Source organism: Homo sapiens, chromosome 2, assembly GCF_000001405.40.
Source record: "Homo sapiens chromosome 2, GRCh38.p14 Primary Assembly".
Classification (NCBI taxonomy): domain Eukaryota; kingdom Metazoa; phylum Chordata; class Mammalia; order Primates; family Hominidae; genus Homo; species Homo sapiens.
In genome coordinates, this window is record NC_000002.12 from 239,942,348 (window position 1) to 239,967,336 (window position 24,989).

The 24,989-nt window shown below is 54.6% G+C and overlaps 1 protein-coding gene and 1 non-coding gene across 7 annotated transcripts in view, besides 7 other annotated features; both read right to left on the minus strand.

Moving 5' to 3' along the window:
- Positions 1 to 24,989, minus strand: part of NDUFA10 (NADH:ubiquinone oxidoreductase subunit A10) — a 132,901-nt gene that overhangs the window by 49,906 nt on the left and 58,006 nt on the right. For 5 of the 6 annotated variants that reach the window (NR_136157.2, NR_136156.2, NR_136155.2 and 2 more), the window contains one exon: positions 15,025 to 18,839. The exons of the other annotated variant lie outside the window; for it this stretch is intronic. Coding sequence is in view for 2 of the 5 variants with exons in the window: in NM_004544.4 (NP_004535.1) it covers positions 18,771 to 18,839 (69 nt within the window). In the remaining 3 variants the exon portion in view is untranslated. Of the gene's footprint in view, positions 1 to 15,024; positions 18,840 to 24,989 lie in introns of those variants that run through there. 6 annotated transcript variants of the gene reach the window in all.
- Positions 668 to 747, minus strand: MIR4786 (microRNA 4786). The gene has a single exon (NR_039949.1). It is a non-coding gene; the product is annotated as a microRNA 4786 (primary transcript).
- Positions 2,438 to 3,374: an enhancer, noted in NCBI's record as "H3K4me1 hESC enhancer chr2:240884202-240885138 (GRCh37/hg19 assembly coordinates)". NCBI's record gives its function as "activates a minimal SCP1, AML or CMV promoter by ChIP-STARR-seq in primed H9 embryonic stem cells {active_cell/tissue: H9 hESC(primed)}" and the evidence as "EXISTENCE:reporter gene assay evidence [ECO:0000049][PMID:30033119]".
- Positions 2,943 to 2,992: an enhancer, noted in NCBI's record as "active region_17391". NCBI's record gives its function as "activates an Ori minimal core promoter by ATAC-STARR-seq in GM12878 lymphoblastoid cells {active_cell/tissue: GM12878}" and the evidence as "EXISTENCE:reporter gene assay evidence [ECO:0000049][PMID:35858748]".
- Positions 3,123 to 3,232: an enhancer, noted in NCBI's record as "active region_17392". NCBI's record gives its function as "activates an Ori minimal core promoter by ATAC-STARR-seq in GM12878 lymphoblastoid cells {active_cell/tissue: GM12878}" and the evidence as "EXISTENCE:reporter gene assay evidence [ECO:0000049][PMID:35858748]".
- Positions 3,375 to 4,310: an enhancer, noted in NCBI's record as "H3K4me1 hESC enhancer chr2:240885139-240886074 (GRCh37/hg19 assembly coordinates)". NCBI's record gives its function as "activates a minimal SCP1, AML or CMV promoter by ChIP-STARR-seq in naive and primed H9 embryonic stem cells {active_cell/tissue: H9 hESC(naive and primed)}" and the evidence as "EXISTENCE:reporter gene assay evidence [ECO:0000049][PMID:30033119]".
- Positions 8,809 to 9,308: an enhancer, noted in NCBI's record as "H3K4me1 hESC enhancer chr2:240890573-240891072 (GRCh37/hg19 assembly coordinates)". NCBI's record gives its function as "activates a minimal SCP1, AML or CMV promoter by ChIP-STARR-seq in naive H9 embryonic stem cells {active_cell/tissue: H9 hESC(naive)}" and the evidence as "EXISTENCE:reporter gene assay evidence [ECO:0000049][PMID:30033119]".
- Positions 13,228 to 14,148: an enhancer, noted in NCBI's record as "H3K4me1 hESC enhancer chr2:240894992-240895912 (GRCh37/hg19 assembly coordinates)". NCBI's record gives its function as "activates a minimal SCP1, AML or CMV promoter by ChIP-STARR-seq in primed H9 embryonic stem cells {active_cell/tissue: H9 hESC(primed)}" and the evidence as "EXISTENCE:reporter gene assay evidence [ECO:0000049][PMID:30033119]".
- Positions 14,149 to 15,069: an enhancer, noted in NCBI's record as "H3K4me1 hESC enhancer chr2:240895913-240896833 (GRCh37/hg19 assembly coordinates)". NCBI's record gives its function as "activates a minimal SCP1, AML or CMV promoter by ChIP-STARR-seq in primed H9 embryonic stem cells {active_cell/tissue: H9 hESC(primed)}" and the evidence as "EXISTENCE:reporter gene assay evidence [ECO:0000049][PMID:30033119]".

Here is a 24,989-nt window from a genome sequence, read left to right on the forward strand (position 1 = left end):
CATTTCCGACAAGCTCCCAGGTGGAGGCTGGGGCCGCTGGTCCAGGAGCCACACTTGGAGAACGATGGATTTCTGTCAATAGCAATTTCAGCCTTGCTATGTCGTTTGTTGCTGTTTGAAATGTATTGGTTTGGTTCTGACACTGTTTCGGTTCTGTTTGCTTCCTGAGGTCTGACATCTTATTTTCATTTCTTAGTCTTATACGTTGTTGACATTTATTTTATTGAATTCATGTTCTTATCAAACTGTTCTCTTAGGCAAAGCACAGGAATATTTTTTTTTTCTGTTCACGAGCTGTGCGTCCTCTGCCTTCCGCATGTTTATCTTGCGCATGCTGTGGTCCCTTCTCCAGCACTGAGTCACGGGTTTCTCTGTGGGACGTTTGCCTGTCACTTGCCCTCCCCTTCCCTGCCTTTCCATTCTCTTCAAGCCCGAGCAGCTCTGACTGGGTCCTCATATGTTTTAACACAGCACTGGAGGGGTTTTAACTCTTTCCACAAAACCTGGCAAAGGCTCGTCTTCCCCTCTTAGCCACAGGAAGCCCAGGCAGTTTGTGTTCAGGCCACCTTCGGGAAGCCTGCAAGGATGGTGGTGGCAGGAGGAGCTCAGCCGAAGTGGAAGAAGGTTCGTTCAAATGCTGAGGCTCTGCTCCTGCTTCTGGAATCCTGTGAAATGGCCCAGACCAGAGCTGGCTTCACCTCATCACAGGGAGAGTGGTGCATCCAGTCCTGGTCTCAGGCCATGCCCACAGGCCAACGCATCCCTGGAGCCTCCACTTCTTACGGAGAGTTTCAACTCACAGTTATCTTCCCATGTCTGCCAGAGGCATTGCAAGACTCCCTGTCTCCAGATCCCAAGCACAGAGGCGGCCTGGGGCTCCGCTTGTGTACCAGTGGGACTCAGGCTTGGTGGCAGGTCAGAGCCACACGAATCTGCCTTCTGCTCTACTCTGAAATCTTTTGCTTATTTTATTGGCTACTAATTTTTCTTTCTTTTTTTTTGAGATGGGGTCTCACAGTGCCACACAGGCTGGATGGAGTGCAGTGGCGCAATCAGAGCTCACTGCAGCCCCAATTTCCTGGGCTCAAGTGATCCTCCCGCCTCAGCCTCCCAAAGTGTTGGGATTACAGGCGTGAGCCACTACACCTGGTCTTTGGCTACAAATTTTCAAAGTGTATGGCCTTGTTTGTTTTCTGCTGGGATTATTTTTCTAGTTTTTCCTTTCTATTCTGTTAGGGACTGGGGGCAGGACACTGTGATTCCGCTTAATCCTGCTGTCTTTGACATTTTTTTAATGTCCATGAGCAGGGACAAATCTTAGTCTCATAAGAATGTGCCTGATTTGGGAAGCAGGCCTCACTCAGCACCGACCGCCCCTCCTGGCACAGCACTGGCATCCCCTGGTGTTCCATAAACACAGAGACTGAGAGATGAGCAGACGAGTATGGGCCCTGGATGCTCCCTGCAGCCCCTCTGCAGAGCTGGACCTGCAGTCCAAGACTCCTTGGGGATGAGGGGTCTAGGGTTTAGTCCCTGTCCCTGGACAGTGATGGAGCTAAAGGCATGGGGCAGCGTCTGTCCCTTTTATGGGGGGAAGCTGAGGCTGCTGGGGGCAGTGCCTGTCCCGAGATGTCCCCAGACTCAGGTGCTCTGCTCCTTCCTTCCCATAAATCCTGGGCCTCCCCTGTGTCCTAAGGGCCTGCGGCCACCTGGCTAGTCCTGTTGCTGGTCCTCCTCCAGGTGCAGGGCACCGGTGCCCGCAAAATGAGCCACCCTGCCCCTGACCACTGCAGCCAGGCCCCTGAGAGGAGGCACATGACTCAGCCCACCCCCTCCTGGCATTGTTATCCTCCTGCCAAGATCCTGAGGCCATGCCAGAAAGGACCTGGGGCCAGCCTAGACCTTTCCATCATTTCACGTAGGCAGCAGCCTTGCCAAAGTCCCCGGGGGCAGAGCGGCTGTTTGGGTCTGGCGTCTGCTCCAGCCTGGCGTCCCCCATGCTGAGTGTGGCCCCAGGGCCAGCGCCGCAGGCTGAGATCCCAAGGCTGCATCTCTGGCTCGGACCTCTGGTCACGGCTCAGGCTGGGTGCCTGGCTGGCCACCTCCCCTCACAGTGCTGTCAGACTCTCAGTGAGCTCATGGCGGGAAATGATTACCTTTCCATGTGAATTCAGGCCGGGTCTGGACAAGTGAGGAGGTGCACTTTCCTCCACATCTGTTTGAAAGTGATTTTCTTCATGGAACTGGCAGCGCGGATCAAGAAAAATGACTCAGAACCGACAAAAACTCCAGGTCTTCCAAGGAAACAAAATCAAACACCAGTGTGCCTAATGGAAGCCTCTGGCAGCCTGGAGAGTGCAGCTCGACAGCCCCTGGTGGTCCCAGGGCCTCTGCTCGCTCGTTAGCCAGGGTTTCCAGCTCAAGGAGCAAGCTCTGTCCACGCCCAGAGCCACCTGCCCCTGTCCCCAGAGCCTTGGGGCCATAGTAACTTTGGAGGAAACTGGTCCCCAAAGCTCGGCCAACCCGCCACCATCCGCAATAGAAGGCAAAGGCTGCAGGACCACCCTAGGTGGGGGGCACACTGGCCCTCCCAGGCTGCACCCCGCGCCCAGAGCTCATCTCCAGACACAGCCATGGGGGTGACTTCCCAGGGGGCCTGTGGAGGCTGCTTCTTTATTGCAAGGTGCCTCCCCGAGACAGAATTCCATGGTTTTGGTAGCAGACTCCCAGGCAAGCCTCCCTGCCTCTCCTCTCTCTATCCTCTACAGAAACCCAGGCACGTGTACAGCCATCAGAGCCCCGGCACCCCTCCCGCAGGAGGGCCTGACTGGGGAGGAAATGACAAGCCACTTCTCAGGTCACCGGCAGGCGTTGAGCAGGCCGCTCTGCAGACGCTGGGCTCCTTCATTTGCACAACCGCAGCGGCAGCGCCATCATTCCTCCTGCTTTGCAGCCAGGAAGACACGAGCTCACAGATCAGCAATTTGCCCAAAGTCACGCTGCTGCTGAGTGGAGACAGGAAATCAGAGCCTCCTTGCTACCCAGACCAAGCTCCTCACCTCTGAGCGTCGCTCCAGCTCCTTTCAAAGACGCTGGGAGGCCCCTCGGGGGAAGAGCGGACACCCCAACCGGAACGCAGGCTGCACCGCGAGGCTCCCTGCGCCCCACCGAGCCGGTCAGGGCTGCAGTCTACCCCGTATGGCCAGGCTGGGAGGATCCTGGGGGCTGAGGCTCCCTCCAGGGAGGACTTGGCCACACACTGGTCCTTCATGAACAGTTTTCTCACGGAATGGATCGATTGGCCCTGGGATGAAAACCAGCATGTCAGAGCAGAAGCATCTCCAGAGCTTCCACCCAGTTACTTTGTATTTTTTAAACACACAATGAATGTGCACACCAAGAGAAGTGCTGCAGCTCAACCAGGCATCACGGCCAAACGTGCAGAGTGGACCACTCCAGACCCCCCTGAAGGCCGTCCCCAGGCTTCAAGGGCCCACAGGGCTCCGGGACTGCAAGCCAGAAGCACCCTGTGTGCAACCCAGGTGCCTGGAGCAGGAGGGTGGAAGACACTGCGCTGAGAATGGGATCCGCTTGCGGACAGGAAGCAGCCCAGAGCCTCACATAATGAGCTGCACCCCCAGACCAGGACAGGAGAGGAGGGCCCCAGGGATTCCGTTCTGAACAGGGAGCCCAGGCTTCCAGGGCAGACGTGTCCCTTGCAGGTTTCCAGAGAGAGGGGCCACACCTTGGCAGCTGTGTGTGTTCGGCCCCTGCTCCAGTGACTTCTCGAAGTCGAGGAAGGATGGCTGCACGCTCCTCCCACTTGCTCCTCCTCAGCCCCAGCTGGGGCTCCGTCACCCTCCTAGGTGGCACCTGGCCACTCAAGCCACTCAAATCCCAGGTGGTCATGAGCCCTGCACTCCATACCACAGCTCCGGCCCCAGCCCCAGCAGACGGGGAGATGGGTGCAGTGATGAGCTGGGAGGGTTTCCGAAGGGTAGTGTGTTACTAGGGGAAGACGTTGTCCCTTGCCACCCTCTGTGGAATTAGCTCGTTAACCCGCATGCTCTGTATGAGGTGCTGGGCCTGCAAACCCCTCAGTGATGCCTCCGGGGCCCTCCCCGCAGGCACTGCGCTCAGAGCCACGGAGTGAGTCTCAAGCCCAAGGGCTCACTGCAATCACAAACACCCCCACACCGTTCAGGTATCCAGGTCAACACTCACGGACGCTACACCTTCTCCAGCCCAGCTCCAGCTCATCTCGATGAATCCCTTTGTTGTCCACATTAAAGCTTTGAGTTCAACGGCTCCTGACGCTGGTGCAGGACCTCCCTGAAGGAGGCAGGACCGAGGTTTTGTCAGGCACGCCTGACATGGATGTGTGCCCAGGTGTGCTAAATGCACTCACTCCCTTTGGTCAGATTTTGGGGAAAGTCAGAGTGAGGCTCCTGCAGGCAGAGAGAAGGCTACAAGCACAAGCTCTGGGGCCAGAGGGCCCCATGCTGGAAATGCCTGCTGTGTGTCTTTGATGTCCTGCCTAACTTCTCTGAACCTCAGGCCGCCTTTGGTGAAATGAGGATAAGGCCACGGCCTCACAGGGTTGGCGGAAGGAGGGAACCCTGCGTGAAGTGCCAGGGCAGTGTCCAGGAGACGGATGCCCAGCCCATGGTGGTGGGTGCTGTGCCTCCCATGGGACTCCTCAGTCCTGAAGCCCGGTGCTCAGCAGGTAGTGTGGGTGGGATCCTGGGTAAGGAGCTGGGATCCAGGCTGCAGTGCAGCCCCTTCCTCATGGGTACAGAATCCCTGGAGGCCTAGGCCAGGCCATCTGGGGCCGTCCCGCCTGCTCACACTGCTTAGACCAAGGCCCTGGACATTATCTGGCAGCAGGCATCCGAGCCTGGGAATACCAAGAAGTCATACCAGGACAGCCCTATACCAATGCAGGTGCCTAAGGCCTACATCCCACACCAACTCCCAGAGCCCCCAGGGACAGAGCTCCTGAGGCCCACAGAGGAAAATGGCTCAGTGACTGTCCTGTGTGCCTGCCTTCTGCACGCCCCGCTGGGCTTCCTGCAGCCACAGCCAAATGCTCGGCCTAAGGAAGAAGCTGGACAAAGACCGGGAGGCAGCTGCTACCAGATACAGACAGGGACAGTCCCTGCCTCACCAGGGCCCAGTAAGCCCCGCCCTCTCTGCGCACCAGACACAGACAGGGACGGCTCCTGACTCTCTGAGGCCCAGAGCAAGCCCCGCCCTCCCCGCCGAGCCCCAGGCCTCCAGGCCCAGGGTCCTGTGAGGGTCCTCCCGGGGCTCCTCTCACACACCGGCCTTCCTGCTGCCGTGAGCTCCTCCATCCACTGAAGGCCTCAAAGACTATGCAACAGGCCAGCCCAGCTCTTGTTGCCAGATGGCAAGAGGGATGAGGGCTCCAGGAAGCACGGGGTGGTGCCTCAACACGCCCACGGCAGCGACATAACCTGTGGCCCCCAGTGCAAGATGAAAACGGGAGGCTCTGGTCCAAAACTTGTTCAGACTTTCAGGACGGCCACAGCTGAACATTAAATCAAGTGTGGGCCCTTCTTGAGCGTGGGCACTGGGTGAACATGGAGGTCACATGTGCATAGGTGGCCCTGCCCTTCAAGCTGGTCTTCCGAGGCCAAGTTAGCCAATTTACATCCTCTGGTGGTGAGGTGGAGGAGGTGAGGTCGGGGGACAAGCTCTGTCGTCACTACAGCTGTTTGAGCAAAAGTCCAGAGGTTCAGTTAACGGCAGCAAGGTTCAGGATTGTGTACAATTCTTAGGGAAATAGCAGCTCATTTCCACCAACACTTAAGAGCTAGAACCTCCTGGGCCCTGCCCACACGTCCGTCCCTCTTCCCAGCCTCAGCCACGCATTCCAGAGACGAAGCCAGGCTGTGCTCCGGACAATGGCCTCCAGGCTGCTCTTCTCCCTTTGGCCCCTCAAGGCCCTGTTCAGAGGCTCCCTGTGGTCTCATTCAAGGCTGCTCTGCAGCTGGGTCCTGAGCCCCCAGGGGACAGAAAGTAACCGACATCTCCACAGCCTCCGCTCCATGAGTGGCGACGGAAAAGTAACAGGCGTTCAAAACATGCACTCACTTGACGTTGTTCAGGGTCTACAGCCCACTGTCCATTTTGCAGCTGTAAGTGGAGTCGCTGGAAAACCCAATGTAAAAAGCAGCAGGCCTGCCCGAGCAAAGCTGCCAAGGCTAAAAGCCCCAGCCATCTTGAAAGCACAAATACACGTCGGTGGGACCCGGATCCTGACTCGAGCCTCCAGCGTTCCAAATACAAGGACAAACTAGGGATTGCAAAGGTGGCTCAGATGCCAGCCTGACGACGCAACTCAGTATGTCCCTTCATCTTCCACAAATCCAGGCCTCCAGTGTCTGGGACAGAAAAAACTAGAGCCAGCCGAGGTGGCCCTCCCTCCTTGGGGACTTCACCAAGCCTCGAGCCATCCTGGCCTAGGCAGGAGCCAGCAGAGGCCTGTGTATTTATTTTGCAGGGAACAGTTCACACAAAGATAAAGCGTGCAGGAGTCCAGAAGAGAAGGCTCTCTACTTCAAATGCAGTGTCTCAGAAGTCACAGGGCACCCCCTTCTGCCCCTGGAGCCCCCAACCCTTCCTTGCTCCCCTGGAGCCCCCAACCCCAAGCTTCCTGCCTTGCAGGCTTTCTCATTGCTTTAACCCCACGAATGCAATGGACACATGTCCCTCTTTGGGACGGACGTATGAGAGCTCATTATGACCAGGATAGTGTCGGGATTTTAAGGTAAAATCAAAGCAAACCAACTGCTGATTGAGCGACTTCTTCCAACACTGATACGGATAGGAGCTTGGGGCAGGAATGAGCACCAGCATTTGTGTCTGAGGAGTGAGATGCACGGCTCGGAGGGCGAAGCGAGTTAGCAATTGTACAGATCAGCTTTAGACATCCAACCCGACTGGACTACAGCTGCCCAGGTATTTGGTCAAACAAGATTTTTGGGGTGTATCTGTGGGGGATGAGATCAGCATGTGACCTGGTGGATTCGGGAAGGCAGGCGGCACTCCCCAGCGTGGGCAGGCATCCTCCAGTCCACTGGGGGTCTGGAAAGAACAGAAAGGTGGTGGAAGAAAGAATTCCCACTCTCTGCCTGTTTTTTGTTTTTTGCTTTTGTTTGTTTGTTTTTTAGAGACAAGGTCTTCTCTGTTGCTCAGGCTGGAGTGCAAACTCCTGGGCTCAAGCAATCCTCCCACCTCAGCCTCCCACATAGCTGGGACAACAGGCGCGTGCCACCACACTTTTACTTTTTGAAGAGACAAGGCCTCATCTATGTTGCCCGGGCTGGTCTCCAACTCAGCCTCAAGCGATCCTCCCACCTCAGCCTCCCAAAGCACTCGGATTACAGGCGCGAGCCACCATACCTGACACTGGCCTGTTGAGGTGGGACATTGGTCTTCCCTTGGACTGGAACTTGCACCACTGGCTCTCCTGGGTCTCCAGCTTGCAGACAGCAGATCTTGGGGCTTCTGAGCCTCCAGAATCCTTGTAACTGTCTCCATATCTGTTCATCCTGTGGGTCCTGGTCTCAGGAGAGCCCTGACTGAGCCTGAACCTGGACTCACCACATTCCATCTGGGAGACTGGGGAGGTCCCACCCTAGAGCCTATTTTCTTACGTACATAATGGGAGAAAAATCAGGCCGTCCCCACCTGCAGCCAAGCTTGCTGTGAGAATCTAGGGAGGGGGCACACCTCAGAGTGGGCTCACGAAGTGGTGGCAGAGATTTAGAAAGGTTTCCAGTCCTTATAGCCCCTCCGCCCCATGCTGTGTGGCTTTGGTCCACCCTCAGCAGTACAGGCTGGCCCTGTTATAAAGAAGCTGAGATGATGCATCTCCTACAGCCAGACGGCTGCCCACCACTCACAGCTTCCTCAGGGATCCCTCAGGCCCCCGAGTCCTTGAGCGGGCAAGAGGTCTCCTGTGGGCATGCCTTGGCCCAAGCAGGAGGCTCAGGGCTCCCGACCCACCACCTTCTTTTTCAGACGGCTCCAGTCCACCAAGCTGCCCCCTCGGGGCATGACCTTTGGAAATCTGAGGAACGGTTCCTCCTTGCTCCCCGAAGACTCTGTTTTTAGGCATCTGAAGTGTAGATGTAAACATTGACCTTTCCCACTTGTGTTTAGACCTGGTGTCCTCGGTGTAAGGACCCCACACACGGATGAGAGCTCATTATGACCAGGATAGCGTCAGGATTTTAAGGTAAAATCAAAGCAAACCAACTGCTGATTGAGCGGCTTCTTCCAACACTGGTACGGATAGGAGCTTGGGGCGGTGTAAGGGCCTGTGCATGTCACATGGCCACCACGTGCAGGTGAGTGGCAGCCGCACGCCTGTCTGTCCCCGTGGTCGGCTGTGCAGACCCCTGCTCGTGCCTGCAGCTTCATCCCAGTGTCACAGAAACACCACACAGCTCCATTCTGTGATTCAAGTAGGTGCCTGTCTAGTTGTGTGACACTGTCCAACAATTACGGGGCAATTGTTCCCACTGCTCCCATGACTGCTTCAAAGAGGTTTCAAGTCAGCGTCCCACTGGCCACCTGCTGGCCAGGGCTTCCAGTACGTTCCGCTTCAGCCCCTCGTTCCTTTGTCAGGTAGTTGCTGAGCCTGGAAGGAGTGCAGAAGGGCCCTGCTTCAGAGGATTATTGGCTTTTGAAGTGAAAAACCCTAAAACAATGCTGACACTTCCCGTTTCAGTCTCATCTCTGAGTCTGGATTTTCACTGGGGCTCTGGGGCCCTTTCCAGCAAACATCTGACCACAAGACATCAGAAGGAGAGGCTACTATTGAGACAGGGAACCCTGCAGCGATGGGACCCGGGGTGCCCACAGGGCGTGCGGGAGGGGCCTCGGGAGGGCCACACGCTCCTGTGCTGCTGCCCTGGAGACAGGGACAATGGCTGCGTCAGCCACCCGTGGGTTACAGAGGACAGCAGGGGGAGAGACGCAGACATTGATGACTGAGTCGTCGAAGGTGGTTGAGATTGGGAAGAAAGTGGGGCCAGGGTCTAACGAGGCCGTTTCTCTTGTGTTCTCAGGCCTCACTTCTGAGCCTCCATAAAAGAAAAAATGCCCGTGCTGGGCAGCCGTGTCCCAGGGATGCCTGGTCAGGGTCCTCCTCTCGCCACACCCTCCCTGGGTCCCCTCAGCACCCAGTACAGGATGTGCCGGACACTGAGAAGCAGCTATGATGGAGGGGCGGCAGGCTTGGTCACAGCCGGGCGTGGAGAGTCAGGCATCTTTAAAAAACAGGGTCTAGGAAGACTCTAATGGCAAGTAAAAGAAAATGTATATAACTCTAAAGCTATCTTCCTTGTTCATTCCTAAAATTCCTAAATTTTCAGAAGTGATCATAAAGTATTTGTGTAACTAAAAAGGGGAAACAAGCCAGAGGGGTTCCCAGGCCTGGTCCCAACGGCACACCGAGGCCTCCGGCCTGGCCATGCCCTGGGCAGCGGGAAGGACAGTGGGACCCAGGAACACGAGGGCCCTGCTGACGCCTGCCCAGGCTCCTGCCTGGCTCTGTCCCTCTCGAGACCTGAGATGGTGCATGCCCTTTGGTCTCTTTCCCTCGGTAGGTGCTGTGGCATGGGTCCTGGGGTGTGGGCCGGCAGGGGCCAAAGGCTGCTGCCTGAAGTCCCACACCCACTAGAGGTCTGCACAGGAGCCGCCTGTGAGCCCACGGGATGAACCAGCAACACATGTGCCACACCTGCTCGCAGAGGGCAGACAGCCTGGCTGCGTCCTGGAATGGGGGCTTGGTGGGGCAGACCTGCAAGCCCAGGGAGAGGAAAGGCTGCATGAAGGACTGGGTGGTGAGGAGGGGGGCGCAGGGAGGGGGCTGGCAGGGTGGGGGCCAAAGCACAAAGGGCTCTGAAGGCAGAGTGGGGAGGGGGGCCCAGGAGAAAGGAGCAGACCTCCTGGGCAGAGATGAGGATGCTGTTGTCTGTGGAAGGTGAAGAGTTCAGGAGGCCAGCACTGTGCAGCCCGCAGCAAACCCACCCCCACTGGCCGGCAGGGCCCCAACTGTGCGGCTTGAGGCTTTCCTTGGCAGCCGGTGGGCACTCACCTGCAGGCCCCATCACAAGATCTGTAGGTGGGAAGAGCTTCTGAGCACCAACAGCTTCCAGGTACCCCTGTAGGGGTTTTTCTGGGTTTTTTGAACTTCCACGATGGACAAAGCAGCCTCCCCTCTCTTCCTCCCAGAGGCCTCCCTCCCCTGGATGGGCAACCCTGTGCCAGACATGGCTATGGAGACCACCTGTCACCACACATGGGACAGCCTATGTCCACCTCTCCCCACGGTGTGCACCACATGGGGACAGGGATGGGCCTGGGCCTGGGCCAGGGCCCCGGAGGGGTGCAGCCAGCCCACGGCAGACGCGAGGCTCTGCTGACCAAGCTGGCAAGGCAGGGCTGCTCACAGCTGCCAGAAAACGCAAGGCACAGCTGCCGACGCCAGCCCCGCTGCTCCACGCCTTCTCTGAGGCAGAAGGCCCATCTCTGTGGTGGGTGAGACCCTCCTCTCCAGCCACGTGGGAGGTAAGAAGAAGCTGAAGGGCCACCCAGAGCAGGGCCTGTGGCTGCCAGTCTCCACAGGGCCTTCTTGTCGGCCCAAGGTGGGGACTGTGGTGCACAGAACAGGGCCCCAAGGACAGCCGCATCCTGATCCCCAGCTCCTGGGACATGGGACCTCGGGTGGCAAAGGGGCTGAGCAAATGGGGTTGAAGATCTTGATGGGGGGTTTCCTGGACTGAGTGGCCCAATGTCATCACAGGGGTTCTTGCACAAGGGAGGCAGCAGGGGCCAGCAGAGAGGAGAGGTGACTAGAGGAGGGGTCACAAGACCATATACGCAGGCAGCCTCTAGAAGCTGGGAAGGCCAGGAAACCAGGAAAGCTGGGAAGGCCAGGAGCCTGCAGGAGGGACCAGCCCTGCTGACACCTTGATTGGAGGCCTCCTGGCCTCCAGAACTTAGGATAATAGATCTGTGCTGCTTTAGCCGCAAAGTGCAAGGCAGCTGCTTACCGCAGCCCTAGGAAACTGCTCCGCGTTGATCTGGGCTCAGCCCCAGGGAGGGGTGCCTGCCGGGTGACCTGAGCATGGTGGTGCATGAGGCAATCAGAAACAGGAGGGTTTCTCACCCTGCAGGAGGAGCACTCGGTGTCTTCTCCGAACCTCCTACAGCTCTGGACACTCACAGTTTGCTCTCAAGTCCCCCACCTTAGTTCCACTCCCCTTCCACCACCTCCTGTGCCCTCTTAGGTGGGAAAACGCAACAGGCACCGCGAACGTAAGTAGCGGCTTGCCCCAACCACAGGCAGCCAGGCAGAGGCTTGTCCTTAAAAGGCTGGAGGCTTCAAGGCTGTGACCATGTGGAGACAGCACAGCCAACACAGGCTCCTTCAGGAACTGCAAACTTAAAATAGACTCCGCTTCCAAACCCACACACTGGCGTCTCTCCAGGAAGAGCGAGGTGGAGGACGCCCCCGCCGCCTCAGGGCTGTGACAGTGGGGAGTGGGTTCCACCTGCTGGGCTGGGCTAGGCTGAGTGACCGACCGCCTCGGGGCTGTGAAAGTGGGTTCCCCCTGCCGGGACCGCTGAGTGACCACCCCAGGACTGTGAGAGTGGGTTCCCCCTGACGGTCAGGCTGTGACTGCCTCAGGGCTGTGAGACTGGGTGCCACCTGCCAGGCCAGCTGAGTGACCACCCCAGGACTGTGAGAGTGGGTTCCCCCGACGGTCAGGCTGTGACTGCCTCAGGGCTGTGAGACTGGGTGCCACCTGCCAGGCCAGCTGAGTGACCACCCCAGGACTGTGAGAGTGGGTTCCCCCTGACGGTCAGGCTGTGACTGCCTCAGGGCTGTGAGACTGGGTGCCACCTGCCAGGCCAGCTGAGTGACCACCCCAGGACCGTGAGAGTGGGTTCCCCCTGACGGTCGGGCTGTGACCGCCTCAGGGTTGTGAAAGTGGGCTCAACCTGCCCGGCTGGGCAGAGTGCCAGCCAGAGATGCTGCTCTCCTGTGTCCTCACGCGCTCCTTCACCAGCTCCTCTGGAGAAGTCCCCTCAGAGACCCCAGTGAAGCTCCCTGACAACCAGCTTTCTGAGCCAAGGACATTCAGAGGAAAAGCATGCCTTAAGGAGGGCAAGATAACACATACTGCTGAGCCTTTCACTTTCCTTGAAACAGCAGAGGCTGCATATTTACCCATTGGATGAACACACACAATTTTATTACTTTGTTAGATGCAAAGGAGGGGCTGTTTTAAGTTAACTCAACAGTCTGAGGTCTTTCAAGTCATTTCTGACCAGCTAAAAAATAGCATTTTTTTATTTTTTTGTACTCACTGCTAACAAACAGCTGGATAGAGCCCGACCAATACCATCCATGCTCCCCCAAGTGGGTTGGCAGGTGACGACTGGTTGCCAATGTTGGCGACACAGCCCGGAAGTGTGAGTCCTGCGTTCTCACGGCTGCTGCACTGCCGCCCGACCTGCCGCTGCCCTGCGACATTCCCTCCCATGGGTGGTTCCTTTCGCCTGCTGTTGGCAACGGGGATTTCTAGGCAGCTGGGATTCCTTCTGCATCTAAATTACTTTCTCTCAACAAGACTGATTCTTCCCCTTCACAGAAGGGTTCATTTGAATTTGGGCTTTGGCTGGCACATACCATGTTCTTCTCAAATTTTATTTCAATAGGAAGGAGTTTATTATATTTATCCACTAATAAGTCTTCGTGTGAAGTATACAAATACTATGGATAGAAAATATGTGAAAACTTCAAGGTGAGGGTGTCTAAGTCACCTCTTAACACTGGGGCGGGGGGCGAGGTCTGCTATTCTCTCCACAAAACATGAAGGGGCCAGAGTGGGTGGAGAGACCATGAAAATAGACAGCTATGCAAGGTCGCATGACCAATGCCGGCATTTTCCACTTTCAGAATGGCACAGAGAGGTTTCTAGAGAAGGACCATTAGACAGCCGTCCTATGGTCAGCGCTGGATTCTGTGTTGTTCTGAGCTAAGAGCTTGTCCTCATCAGGGAGCTGGTCCACAAGGGACTTTCAGGAGCTGATGCAGAATGACCAGTTGCTCAGTGGTCCAGACCCACTCCCCATCTTCCTAAGGTGGCTCTTGGAGAGCCCAGGACACGGGGGTTGGCACGCGAGGCAAAAGGCTGAATTCAGACCCACACCTTGCCAGACACCCATCCAGAAGTGGCCTCTGTGTGTGGGTTGCTGTTGGCTGACTTGGCCATGAGGACTGAGGGGGCCGCAGGACAGACCAGGGCAGGAAGGAAAGATAGGGCAGGCCCAAGGGGAGCCGAGTCATAGGCTGGGTTCTCAGGGAAGGATGGCTGGCAGCTCCAAACCCACGGCCAGGGGACAGTGGACTCTGGCTCAGGACCCTGATACTACCTCACCTGTGGGCACGGCTCTCAGCAGATGCAACCTCAACTCCAACCTGAGAGACCAAAGTGGGGCAGGGCAGCAGAGCCCGGAGTCAGAGACGGCGCAGGCTCTGTGTCGAGTCCTCCAGAGGAAAGCTCTGCAGCCAGGGAGGCAGGGGCGACAGCAGGGACCAGCCACCCAGGAAAGGGACAGGAAAGGGGGAAAAAAACAGCAAAAGGAGCCAGGTTCCAGGCAGGGACTGGGAGTTTCTGAATGGAAATGCACGCCAGGCCATTCCCGGTACACCCATCACTGACTCCCAAGAGCTAGCACATCTGGACCCCTCCCACGGGTGCAACCCATCTGTCAGGAACAAGCAGCGCTGCGTCCCCAGGGGCTCCAGCGCCTACACTTGGAGGTGGGGCCGGTCATCCCCACCATACATGCAAGACGCACAAAATCCAAATAAAAGTCTGACGCACGGTGATAACTTCTGTTGAATGAGAAGACGTGAGTGGCCATCGTCACACACGGGATGAGGCCATGACCAGCACAGCAGCTGCTTGTCCCTCTGGCTGCAGAGGGGGTAGATCCAAAGCGTGGGGCCTGAGCACGTGGGGTCCTACCCGCTCCTCTTACAACGTCTAAAACAGCAAGATTCCGAAGGTCTTTCAGGTTCCCAGATTTGGACAGAAGGGCTGTGCGCTGCCTGCTGCAATACTGAGAGGAGGAAAAGCCTCCCGTGCTTGGAGGACTGGCGTTGCTCCTGGAGTCGGGACGGCCCAGTGCTAAGCACCAAGCTCACCTTGTCCCAGGAGAGGGCAGACCAGTGGAAATGCACTTTCCAGCCCACTGCCTGTCACAGCCACCTTTCTGTTCGTGCTTCCTAAACCGAACAAAGCTCAATGACAAGCAGGGGAGAGTGTGGAGACAAACGCGCTCGTTCTGGTGGGAGGAGTGGCGTCACGGCGGAGCCGGGCAGCAGAAAACTCATGCTTTGATGGTAGTCCGGCTCTCTACCCTACCTGCTTGTTTTTTCCTTAATTCCCACACTGTGACTCCTGCCCCAGCCAGCTCAGCTCCAGCTCTGCGGACACAGAGCTTGCCAAAGTCATGTCGACAGTCACTGCAGGTCCTCCTCTCCCTGACGCGTGTGGAGCACCTGACCCAGCCTGGCCGCCTCACTCCTTCCCTCGCCTCCCAGGCCCTCTGCACTCTCCTCAGCCCTCCAACACCTACAGTGGGCTCTGGGGGGTGCCCTGCAGCTCAGGCCAGACCCTCCTTGCGGCTCAGACACCCCCCTCCACTGCGGGCTCGCCAAGTCTCACAGCTTTCAGATTCTGCACATGCACAACCCTGCATCAGGGGCTTCCACCTGGGCCTCGCCCCTCAGCCACTGCTAGCATTTCTGCTCTCACTGCCACGTGTCCAGCGCTGAGATGCTGCCCGGGATGCAGGAGGCCCCATCAACGTTCACTGTAAGAAAACCCACATGACCACGCGTAACATGCCAGAGGAAACAGCTTTTTACAAATTAAAAGCTGGGATTTTTAATATAATCACCAGGTATAGTCTCATTAAAAACATGTTTATTCAATGAAACTACATAGCACTAAAATGAGAGCTTCCCAAAATGTAACCAGCAATTGGATCTAACTAACTAGGGAGCTTCAGAATTTTAATTTAAAGATAAAAAGTGTTCACTTGTGAAAAATTTACTATTAAAATAATTTTTAAATTAAGAATTTTAAAACTATACATCAATAGTAAAAGCGAATGAGCAAACTTACTCACATGCTTAAAGATAAAATTTGACAGTTTCATTTGTCTTCCTATTAGAACCCTTAAATCAGCCTCCTTCAAGCAAGCGCAGCCAGCGTGAGCCAGGGGACAGACACTTTCAGTGGAACATTTATGGCTCTGAGAACAGCACCACTCTTTTGGGGACAAGTCCATCACTGGAGCTCCCCGGCCTCCTGGAATTCAGGTGGCAATGTCCAACATCCAAACTCACAGAGCCTGGCATTCCGATGGGGAAGGACAGAAAGGCTGGGACCCTCTGCTGAGAAGAGGCTCCTTTTCCCAAGGGAAGCTCGCTGCTTCGAGTCACACACGTGTTGCTGTTATAAGGTCCTTTGCTTTGACAATTCGAGAGAGTATTAGAAAACACTAGCGGCGTGAGGTGACTACTGACAATCACCTCCTCTGTTTTCTGGCTCATGATTTTCCTAAAGCAAAGCCTCAGGCTCCCGGCTTCTATTTATATCCACATGTAAAGCCCCAGATCACTCGGGCACCTGCTTCCATTCATGGAATTCTGGCCAGCCAGTGGCTGATGCCTACACAAGCTTTTCTTCAAAAAGCCCCAATTTCTGACAGCCATGGCAGCTTTCCCTCCACCCCTATTTTGCCAAACCCCCAAATCTTGCAGATTTATATCCAGTGTGAGCACGGACTATGCTTCTTCCCAGAAAGTAGCCGCCTGCTTGCTTCTTTGCATTGACATTTGCACTGCTAAGAACAGCCAATCCAGAAAGCTATAATTGGTAAGCAGGGCACAGAGAAATTCAAAGCCAATTATTAGCCAAAAAATGGGACAAATGCCAAACAAGACAAGAGCTTCTTCCACTTCTGCTGTAGCAGAGAAACCACCACGAATTCAATTGAAGCGGCGTAACTGAAGGTCCCTGGGTCCACCTGTGGCCTGGAGGCGGCCGCCTGTTTCCCTGCTGTTCTTGCCACAACACCTAGGCAGAACATGGAGGTTCCACAGCTGCCTGGTGGACAGCAGCCAGCAGCCTGGCAGCGTGGGGCTGGTGAGCTGCTGCTGCTATCTACCCAGGCAACTCCATTTTGCTGAGGTGGTCCTAAGTAGCTGCATGTAATCTCTCCTAAGAAGCTCAATGTTCTTAACAATTTGGTTTTAACAGTTGATGGAACAGAAAGATACGTTAGAAAAAAACAAGGACTTTCTTTTCAATACAGAATTCTCATGCCTGTAAACACATGCCTGTATGAATAAAATCCAGACACAAAACCATACTGCTGCAACAGCATGATTATTTCCTGATCTCCAAAGCACTGAGAAGTCCAACATGGAATCCTGGAAAATGCACGATTATTTTGATCCTGGTTTGTTGGTGCTGTTGTTTTAGTTGTAAGAGCTTTCGTGAGACGAACGCATGTACTGCTCTGAAATAAGGAAATCGGGGCATCTCCTCACCTCTTCTTGAGGCTTCTATGTGGAGAGAAGAATTGGACAGTGTTTATTCATCTTTCTCTGCTGAACATGCATGTCATTGAAAACACCAGAAAATCAAACAGACGAATGTCCTCAGCACTACAAATTACATACTTCCCACTCCATCAAGGGAATGCAACCACACAGGGTCAGACGCAAACACAGGGGATGATCAGAGCACCCGAGTCCACACCATGCCGACACGGAGCCCTGCATGGTTGGAGAGCTCTGCCCCTCACAAGGGCAATCCTGACCACAGGGCAGACCTGCCCTCTCACTGCTGAGGACACTACCCGTGCAACCACCAAGGTTGAAGGAAACAGCTAGCTCTTTGCAGCCAAAGACATTAGGAACAGCTAAGATAATTAAAGATGGCTTTCTTTTTCTTTCCTCCCCTCCACAATGGGTTTGTGAAGTGCTCAGAGCAAAAGACACTCTGTGACTGGCCCAATGCCCAGCTGTGCTTTCATTTCATGATTAAAGCTGTTGGTTTCCTAGTGAAATGCAAAACTTCAGCCACTTAAATCTCGACTCCAATTCAAAACTCCTGGGAAACTTTATTTTCAAATTCTTAAAACAAGGAAGGAGGCAGGGAGGAAGGGAAGGGAGGAAAACAAGGACAGACGGAAGGAAGGAAGGAAGAGAAGGAGGGAAGGAAAGAGGCAGGGAGGAAAACAAGGACAGACGGAAGGAAGGAAGAGAAGGAGGGAAGGAAAGAGGCAGGGAGGAAGGGAAGGGAGGAAAACAAGGACAGATGGAAGGAAGAAAGGAAGGGAGGGAAGGAGGAGGAAAGAAGGAGGGAAGGAAGGGGAGAGGGAAAAAGGCAGGCGGACGCAAGGAGGGAAGGAGTGTGCATCTTCTTCGCATGCTCCGCAGCAGCGAGGCCTGGTAGAGCTTCCGCGGGGAGCAGAGCATCGTCCTCTGCACCAGCACTGGAACTACTGCCCACAGGCGGCTGTGGAGTGCCTGAACTATGGCCAGTGCAACCAAGGAACCCAATTTTAAACTCTATTACATTTTAGCTCATTTAAATTTCAATACCCACATGTGGCTAGGAGCTACCATATTGGACACAGTGGAGCTTTACAGTGGAAAACCCACAGTTCAGTAGGACTCACAACTGGCAGCCTGATTCCTAATGGACACAGTGGAGCTTTACAGTGGAAAACCCACAGTTCAGTAGGACTCACAACTGACAGCTTGATTCCTAAACCATGATGCTGAACCACAACCAGCTTGTTTTGGTTTTCTAGGCTTCAACAGAGATGAATAAAGAAATCTGATTTTCTTTCTCATTTCTCAGTTTTGACTGGCAACTTGATTTTCTGGGTAATAAAGAGAGTATATTATTTTGCTTTTGCATCTTATGTCATCAACAGCCTAAGCTCAAATCTCCCTTCAAAGGAGTTTGAGACGCTGAGGACGGCCACGTGAATCTTTCTCAACGTCTCTCTTAAAACATATTGTTCTGTAAATCTGTGGTAATTTTCTCCTTTTGCTATTTCTTCTTCACGTTCTTATTTTTTCTACTCTAATGTAGCACATTACTAAAATAAATACAGTAGGCCTTTAGAAAAACTCTTCAGCATAATGTAAGCCTCAATTAAACCACACCACACCAAACAGGGCCCAGAGCAGCGTGTGTGCACGTGTGCAGTTTCGACGTGCCCGCACGCACATAGACGTACGATGGGGAAATTCCCATGGAAACACTTTTATTTCTGGAAGTCAGAAGAAAAACAATGTGCACAACCTGAATGACACAGAGCGGCAGCGCTGAAACCACAGGGGCTGCCGAGAGCTGGCCTTTCACAGCAGACCACTGTTTTCCAGTGAGAATGGTGGGCCATTCCAAAACAAAGCTAAAGGGTTCCAAACATCCAGAATGGAAGCTGCTTCCCCCAACTCCATTACCTATACTACAGGATGGATTGCTTTTTGTGAGACCCCTTCTTCCACTGTGCAATTTTTGCATTATTTACCCTCCCCCGATCTTAAAGCTATATGGCGTCCAGGAGAGTGCGGCTGATGCAGCTTGGCCATCACTGTGATGCAGCTGGAGCAGAAGGCGGCCCGTTCACTTCAGCCAGATCCACTTGTCTCCCACCTCGGTGTTGTACCCAGGGCTGTACTTGCGGCCCGGCAGCTGTGGGGGAAAAAGGCATTGGTGCATTCTGTTTAACGTGAATGAATGTTTCCCCAGCTCATAGTTCAATGTCTACCCGGCAGATGCCTGTACTTCATGAGTTCCTTCAGCAATGCTGGTGAGCACATGATCTGTGGCAGGTGTCTCCTGTGAGTGCAAGGATGCCACAGGTACACAAACCACAACCCAGCCCTGCCTGCCAGAAGCTTCTGTCCTAGGGCTGGGAGCCACAAATGGAAACGAACTACTGAGTGTTCTCATTAATGTCAGGAGGGTGACAAGAGCCACAGGAGGGGGACAGAGAGCAATGGGTGGCACTTAGGGGAGGCCCTGAGCAGGGACAGCCACGCAGACACAGGGGTGGGGCTGGGACCCAGGAACCACAGTTCACCAACTGAAACACCGAGTTCTCTCTGAAAAAGCCCCGCGTGAAATTCCCTCTGAAGAGGGCCTGCAGAGGCCGGGCCGCTGGCTGTAAGGGGCCCTTGGCGGAGTAGGAAAGTGAGTTTCATCCAGGCCTTTTAAGTAGACATGGGCAGGGTTCAGGAAAACCAGCAAAGGAGGGGGAAGCACTGCAGGACTGACCCTAGCGGGAGCCACTGAACATCCAGGAGCGACAGGACGACAGAGCCCAGGAGGAGCGGATGCTGCCAGAGAGGCCAGTGGGGGGCTGAGCTTGGCAGTGATGGAGCTGCAGAAAGGATGTTACAGGCCCCACTTCTCCCACCATCTGGGAGAGATCAGGGGCTCAGGTGGCGGTCCACAGAGGCCAACCTCACAGGGCACAGGGAGATCTGGGGGGCAACAAGAGCCCCTGCCAGCACAAAGACGCCTGTTCATGAGGGTAGGCGGCCAGCACAGGGCTGGCTGAGACGGAAAGAGGAGTGTTGCTCCGCAGGACCACCTCGTTGCGGAGCCAGGAGAAAGCGCTCAGCACGGTGTGTGTCGCCCAGCGATGGCAGGTGGGAAAATGATGAGTTTTTTCATATTTTCAAATCAGCATGGGCACACAGTCAATTTGTGTACACACACACACACACACACACACACACACCCCTTCCAAATTCTGCCCTTAAGAACAGGTACTAAAACCATTTTTAAAAGAATCAGCTTTTCCTTTATCCTAATCAGCAGCAGGCATTCACAGCCATCCACACAGCCATGGCTGCCTGGATCACAAATCACTGAAATGTGCCTTGCCTGGCCTCTGCCACAGTGGCCACGCAGTGACAGACGAACACACAATGCATCCTATGAAGCAGCAGACAGGTCGCCCCAAGACCAGCCATCTCACACACAGGACAGGCAAAGCTCTAGGATCTTCAAGGCCCAGGAGCCACCCTTCCTCCTCCCCAGAAAGCCTCTCCTCTCCTAGGTGCACAGCTGTGAAGTGGGACCTGGAAGTGGAGGGGCCGGTGCTCTGTTAGTTCATTCTTGCACTGCTATAAAGACATACCCGGGGCTGAGAAATGCAGAGAGAAAAGAGGTCTAATTGGCTCATGGTTCTGCAGGCTGTGTGGGAAGCATGGTGCCAGCATCTGCTTCTGGGAAGGCCTCAGGAAGCTTCCAATCATAGTGGAAAGCAAAGCAGGGGCAGGTACGCCACATAGTGGGAGTAGGAGCAAGAGCAAGAGCATGAGGCGGGTAGGGGGTGGGAGCTGCCATATACTTTAAAATGAGAGGTCGACGCGCACTCTGTGAGAACATACTAATTACCTCCAGGAGGGCACCAAGCCATTCATGAAGGATCTACTCCCATGACCTAAACACCACCCACCAGACCCCACCTCCAACAGGGGATCAGATTTCTACATGAGATCTGGAGGGACAGACATCCTAACTACATCAATGCCCATCTAAAGGCGGGGGGGAGGGTGGCACAGCCAGCCTCCAGCTTTCTGGCCCAGGATACAGTGTGGATACAGACGGTTTTGTTTGGGTGCCAGGAGAATTCTGGGACACACACAAAAAAAGAAAAACCCAGCTCCTTCAGGAGTTTGAAATCTGAAGAGAGACTGAGATGAAAGCCCAGGTCATTCAGCCAGTGATGCCAAGACAGCCCAGGGGGTTTGGTATTGTGGGATCCCAGGAGGGGGCGCAGGCAGCTAGTCTGGCAGAGTCCAGGGAGGCGTCAGGAGAGTGAGGGACCCTCCAGGGCCAGGGGGATCCCCCAACACTGCTGCTCGAACTACAGGTGTCTACAAGTGGCAGGAAGACCGCAAGAGAGGGACGTGACTTTCTGGCTTCACAGTCTGACAAGACCTTTGGCCTAAGTTGTGACCTGTGTCAGACGGGCTGTAGGTGCTATTTCTAGACCGGGGAGCAGTGACGGGCACCTGGGGCTGGCCTCAAAGGGCCTGACGGGGTCAGGAAGGCCTGGGTGAGAGAGAGAAAGAGCTGGTCAGCCCCAGGGAAGGTAAGTGTCCGGTCTGCTTATAGAATATGTGCAGGGTGTGGGGGCTACATGGCGGGTTGCCCCATAGAGATGACCCGTGGGCAGTTGGAAACCTGCGTCTGTGGCTTAGAAGACAGGGCTGTGCAGCCACCTCCCAGTAACTGAGGGAGGCAGCGCCATGTGAGCCGACCATCCAGGGTGCTGGACAAGAGAAGAGGCCAAAGAGCAGCACTGCATGGCTGAGGCCTGAGGCTGCAGAGGGACTGAGGAGTGAGGCACACAGGCCACCGGAGGAGCTGGGTGTGACCACGCGTGACATACGGGGCCTCGCGTCACGGTCACCAGATGGCCACTAGCTCTGCACGAAGACAGGAGGAGCGGGGTGGGAAAAGACCACACTAGCGGGGAAGCAGTCAGCAGCTGAGGAAGGGGACACAACACCTGGGCCACCTTTCACACGCCAGGTAATGGCACGTATGTCTATGCCTGCACGCCCATGCATGTGCAGGGGGCTGGTAGGCGGGGTCTCTGCATCAAGAAGTGGTGGAGATCTCTATCTCAAGATGCCCAGCCTCCAGAACCTGTGAACACATGAGCTCACCTGGCAAAAGGGCCTCTGCAGCAGGAGACTGGGAGATCATCTGGGTTATCTGGGTGGGCCCCAGGCCATCACTAGGGTCCTCAGAAATCAGAGAAGGAGATGTGACAATGGAAGCAACAGCCACAGTAATGTGGGGCCAGGTGCTGAGGAATGTGGGCGGCCTCTAGAAGCTGGAAAGGGAAAGGACACCAATCTCCCCTTGAGCCCCCGGAAGGAGCCAGCCCCGCCTGCACCGTGATTTTAGAACCTCTGCCTCCAGAACTTTAGGAGGATGCATGTGTATTGTTTTAAGCTGCTAGAGAGTGGTAGCTGGCAGCAGCAGCAGCAGACGACTCCTGCCGGGTGTCTGCTTTTTATGATGGGAGATACCGGGTCACATCTGTACACCAGGAAGAAAAAAACTGTGCAGGGGAACAGGTCGAGGATGCAGGAGAGTGTGGGTCAACCCCAAGAACACAAACCCGGAGGGAGGGGCAGGCCAGAGAGCTGTGAAAGCAGCAAGGCCCTCCAGGAACACTGCCGGCGAGGACACCTCCAGCAGAACCACACTCAAACACGACTGCCGCAGCCAGGAAACGGTAACGCTGTAGTTGGTTCCACATCTGAGAGGTGGTCCTGCCAGAAATTCATTTCTTTTTCCCTAAAGGACCAACTGCAGAATTAAGCCCAAAGAACAGAAAGTTGACACCTGAACAAAAGATCACCGAAAGGTTTTCCCGTTTAACCAACCTGCTGCAAACCCACACGACGGCCAGCAGGCGCCTCTCTTAAGACGCCCTGGGTCAGCTTCCCCAGGGTTTTTCAATTAAAGTTGTCATTTAATGTTTTACCCAAACACAGGACCAGCCACGCAGGTCTGTTCACAGCAGTACTGACAGAGGAAGGGCTGGGTTTGGGACAGTCTGGCTCCATTTTCATCTTTGCAAATAGAATTTTAAATCAGAGCAGATAATAGAAACTAGCAGAATACCAAACCTGCTAAGTCCAGCCAGTGGCCATTAATTGTCTCGGAAAGTTTGTGTCTGGACTTCTCAGGCAGCAGTTAACTGGCCTTTGATACCCAGGAGGGTTCTCAGATCCTGGGGTCTCTTTTCAGTGTTTTAGGCCAACAGAGAACCATGCGGGGGGGGAGGGGTTCATTTGCAGCATCTCACACCAGGAAAATGCAAAATCATCCACTTTGTTTACATGTCTACTTCACGTCTGTATCTGCTAATTTAAAATAAGCCTTCCACCCCCAAAACCCAGTGCTCATTCATCACATGAGAAAACGCGCATGATAACGCCTCAGGGAGGAAAGCAGCAAAGCCCGTTCCCTCGCAGGGCAGCCTCACTCCGGGAGCCGCAACGGGCCTCGTCAGACCTTCCTCCCGAGCCACGCTTTCCCGGATCTGCTCGTTCACGGTGCCCGGGTGCGTGACACCCATGTGTGTGGCTGTGCGTCCAAAGGTTGAGATGCAAAGGGCATGCGGTGAACTATCTCAGGTGAACTATCAAGGCCGTACACCCACTTTAAAATGAAAAGAAAATCATTTTCCTCCTGTCAGAAGTCAGGGCTTCTGCCGAGTATACACCGGGTGAGCAAACCAAGAATCCTTAAGGAGCAAAAGAAGAAAGAGCGCCTAACAGAAAAAGGAACAAACCCCTCCAATGCTCATCCTCTGCAATCCCCTCTACTGTACAATGCGAACGGAGTTTCCCTCGCTGGATCTCTAAATTCAAGGCATTTTGGACTCATTACATTCACAGGGCTCTGATAAGTTTAACACTTTCAGGAGGCTCTTTCCCTGTATTCCATTTTCCATTAGAAATCAAAAAGGAAGTTTACTGAAGGGAAAAAAAACCTCAATAAATTACAAAGCCAAACATTCCAAGTCCTCTTCCAGAGCCAAGCAGCTAAGCTGCCCTCCACCCATGACCCTGGCGTGTGTCAGTCCCTGGTGGCCCACCGGGAGTGTTCCAGGGCGAGGCCTGGAGCTGGGAAGGGATTTTAGACAGTGCACTGGGAGGCACCCTGCCCAGTCACCGACAACCTGGGCTGACTCAGTGTACAAACCAAGTTCCTTTCCCTAAGGGCTGCTGGTCACAGGGGGCTGGGCTGGAAATGACAACTCCCCCTGGCCCCCGATGGAGCCCAGACATGGAGGATGAGCAGGGTGGGCTTCCATTCCAGGCTGCAGAGGGTGTGCACATTTGTACTAGCAGATACAAAATGACACATGAGGGTGTGCACACTGCAGCCCAGCCTGCTTGGGGATGTGGCCCAGCCTGTTTGGGAATGTGGATCTGTACTTTCTTCTCCCGGAAAACCCCACAGGACCGGACTTGTTCCCACCCGTGCATCCTGATTCATATACAGGAAAGACTGGAGAAGAGACAGTATTGGACACGCTCATCAAACCCACTCGTGATTTCCCCCAAATATCTGTGTGCAAATCTGTGTGTCAGAAGTCCATGCTTAATGTAAACTAACATGATGATTTTCCTGACCCTCACAGTTAAGAGGGTGAATGGCACACACACACAGGTGCTACCCTCTCCCCCACCAACCGGAAGGCTACAAAGAAACCTGAACCAGGCTGCCTGAGGGAGGGGCCCTGGGCGGCTGGGGAACAAAGAAGGAACATCTCTCATCTTTTGAATTTTACAGCATGTGCAAGGATTTCTTTTTTTTTTTTTTTTTTTTTTCCCTAAGAGAGAGAGATTAAGTAACTTGCTGAGGGTGGCACACGGCCAGTGTGTTCACAGAGCTAGAATTGGAGCCGTGTCCCCTGGCTCCTGAGTCTGCTCCTAACCACTGGCCCATGCTGTACATCACTCTGTGCCTCTTCCAGCCTAGGGCTGTGTCTGTTCCCAGTTTTCCCGTCATAAATAACACCGATGTGCCCCCTCTAGATTTATGTGCTTGAGATAAATTTCTAGAAATGGAACTGCTTGCTTAAGGAAAAACAATAAACAGAGCAATAGATGCTGACGCAGCCATCGGAATGGGTTGAATTTAATAACGCCAAGATGCTGCTCCAGATCATTATGCTGCTGCTTACACTTCGGGGCTGATTCAGAGCCTTGGTTTCTCGTTATGAATTTATACCAGGCTCTTGGCCTTTTACTGCCTCATGCATGGGTCGGCAAACTGTAGCCCACAGATCAAATC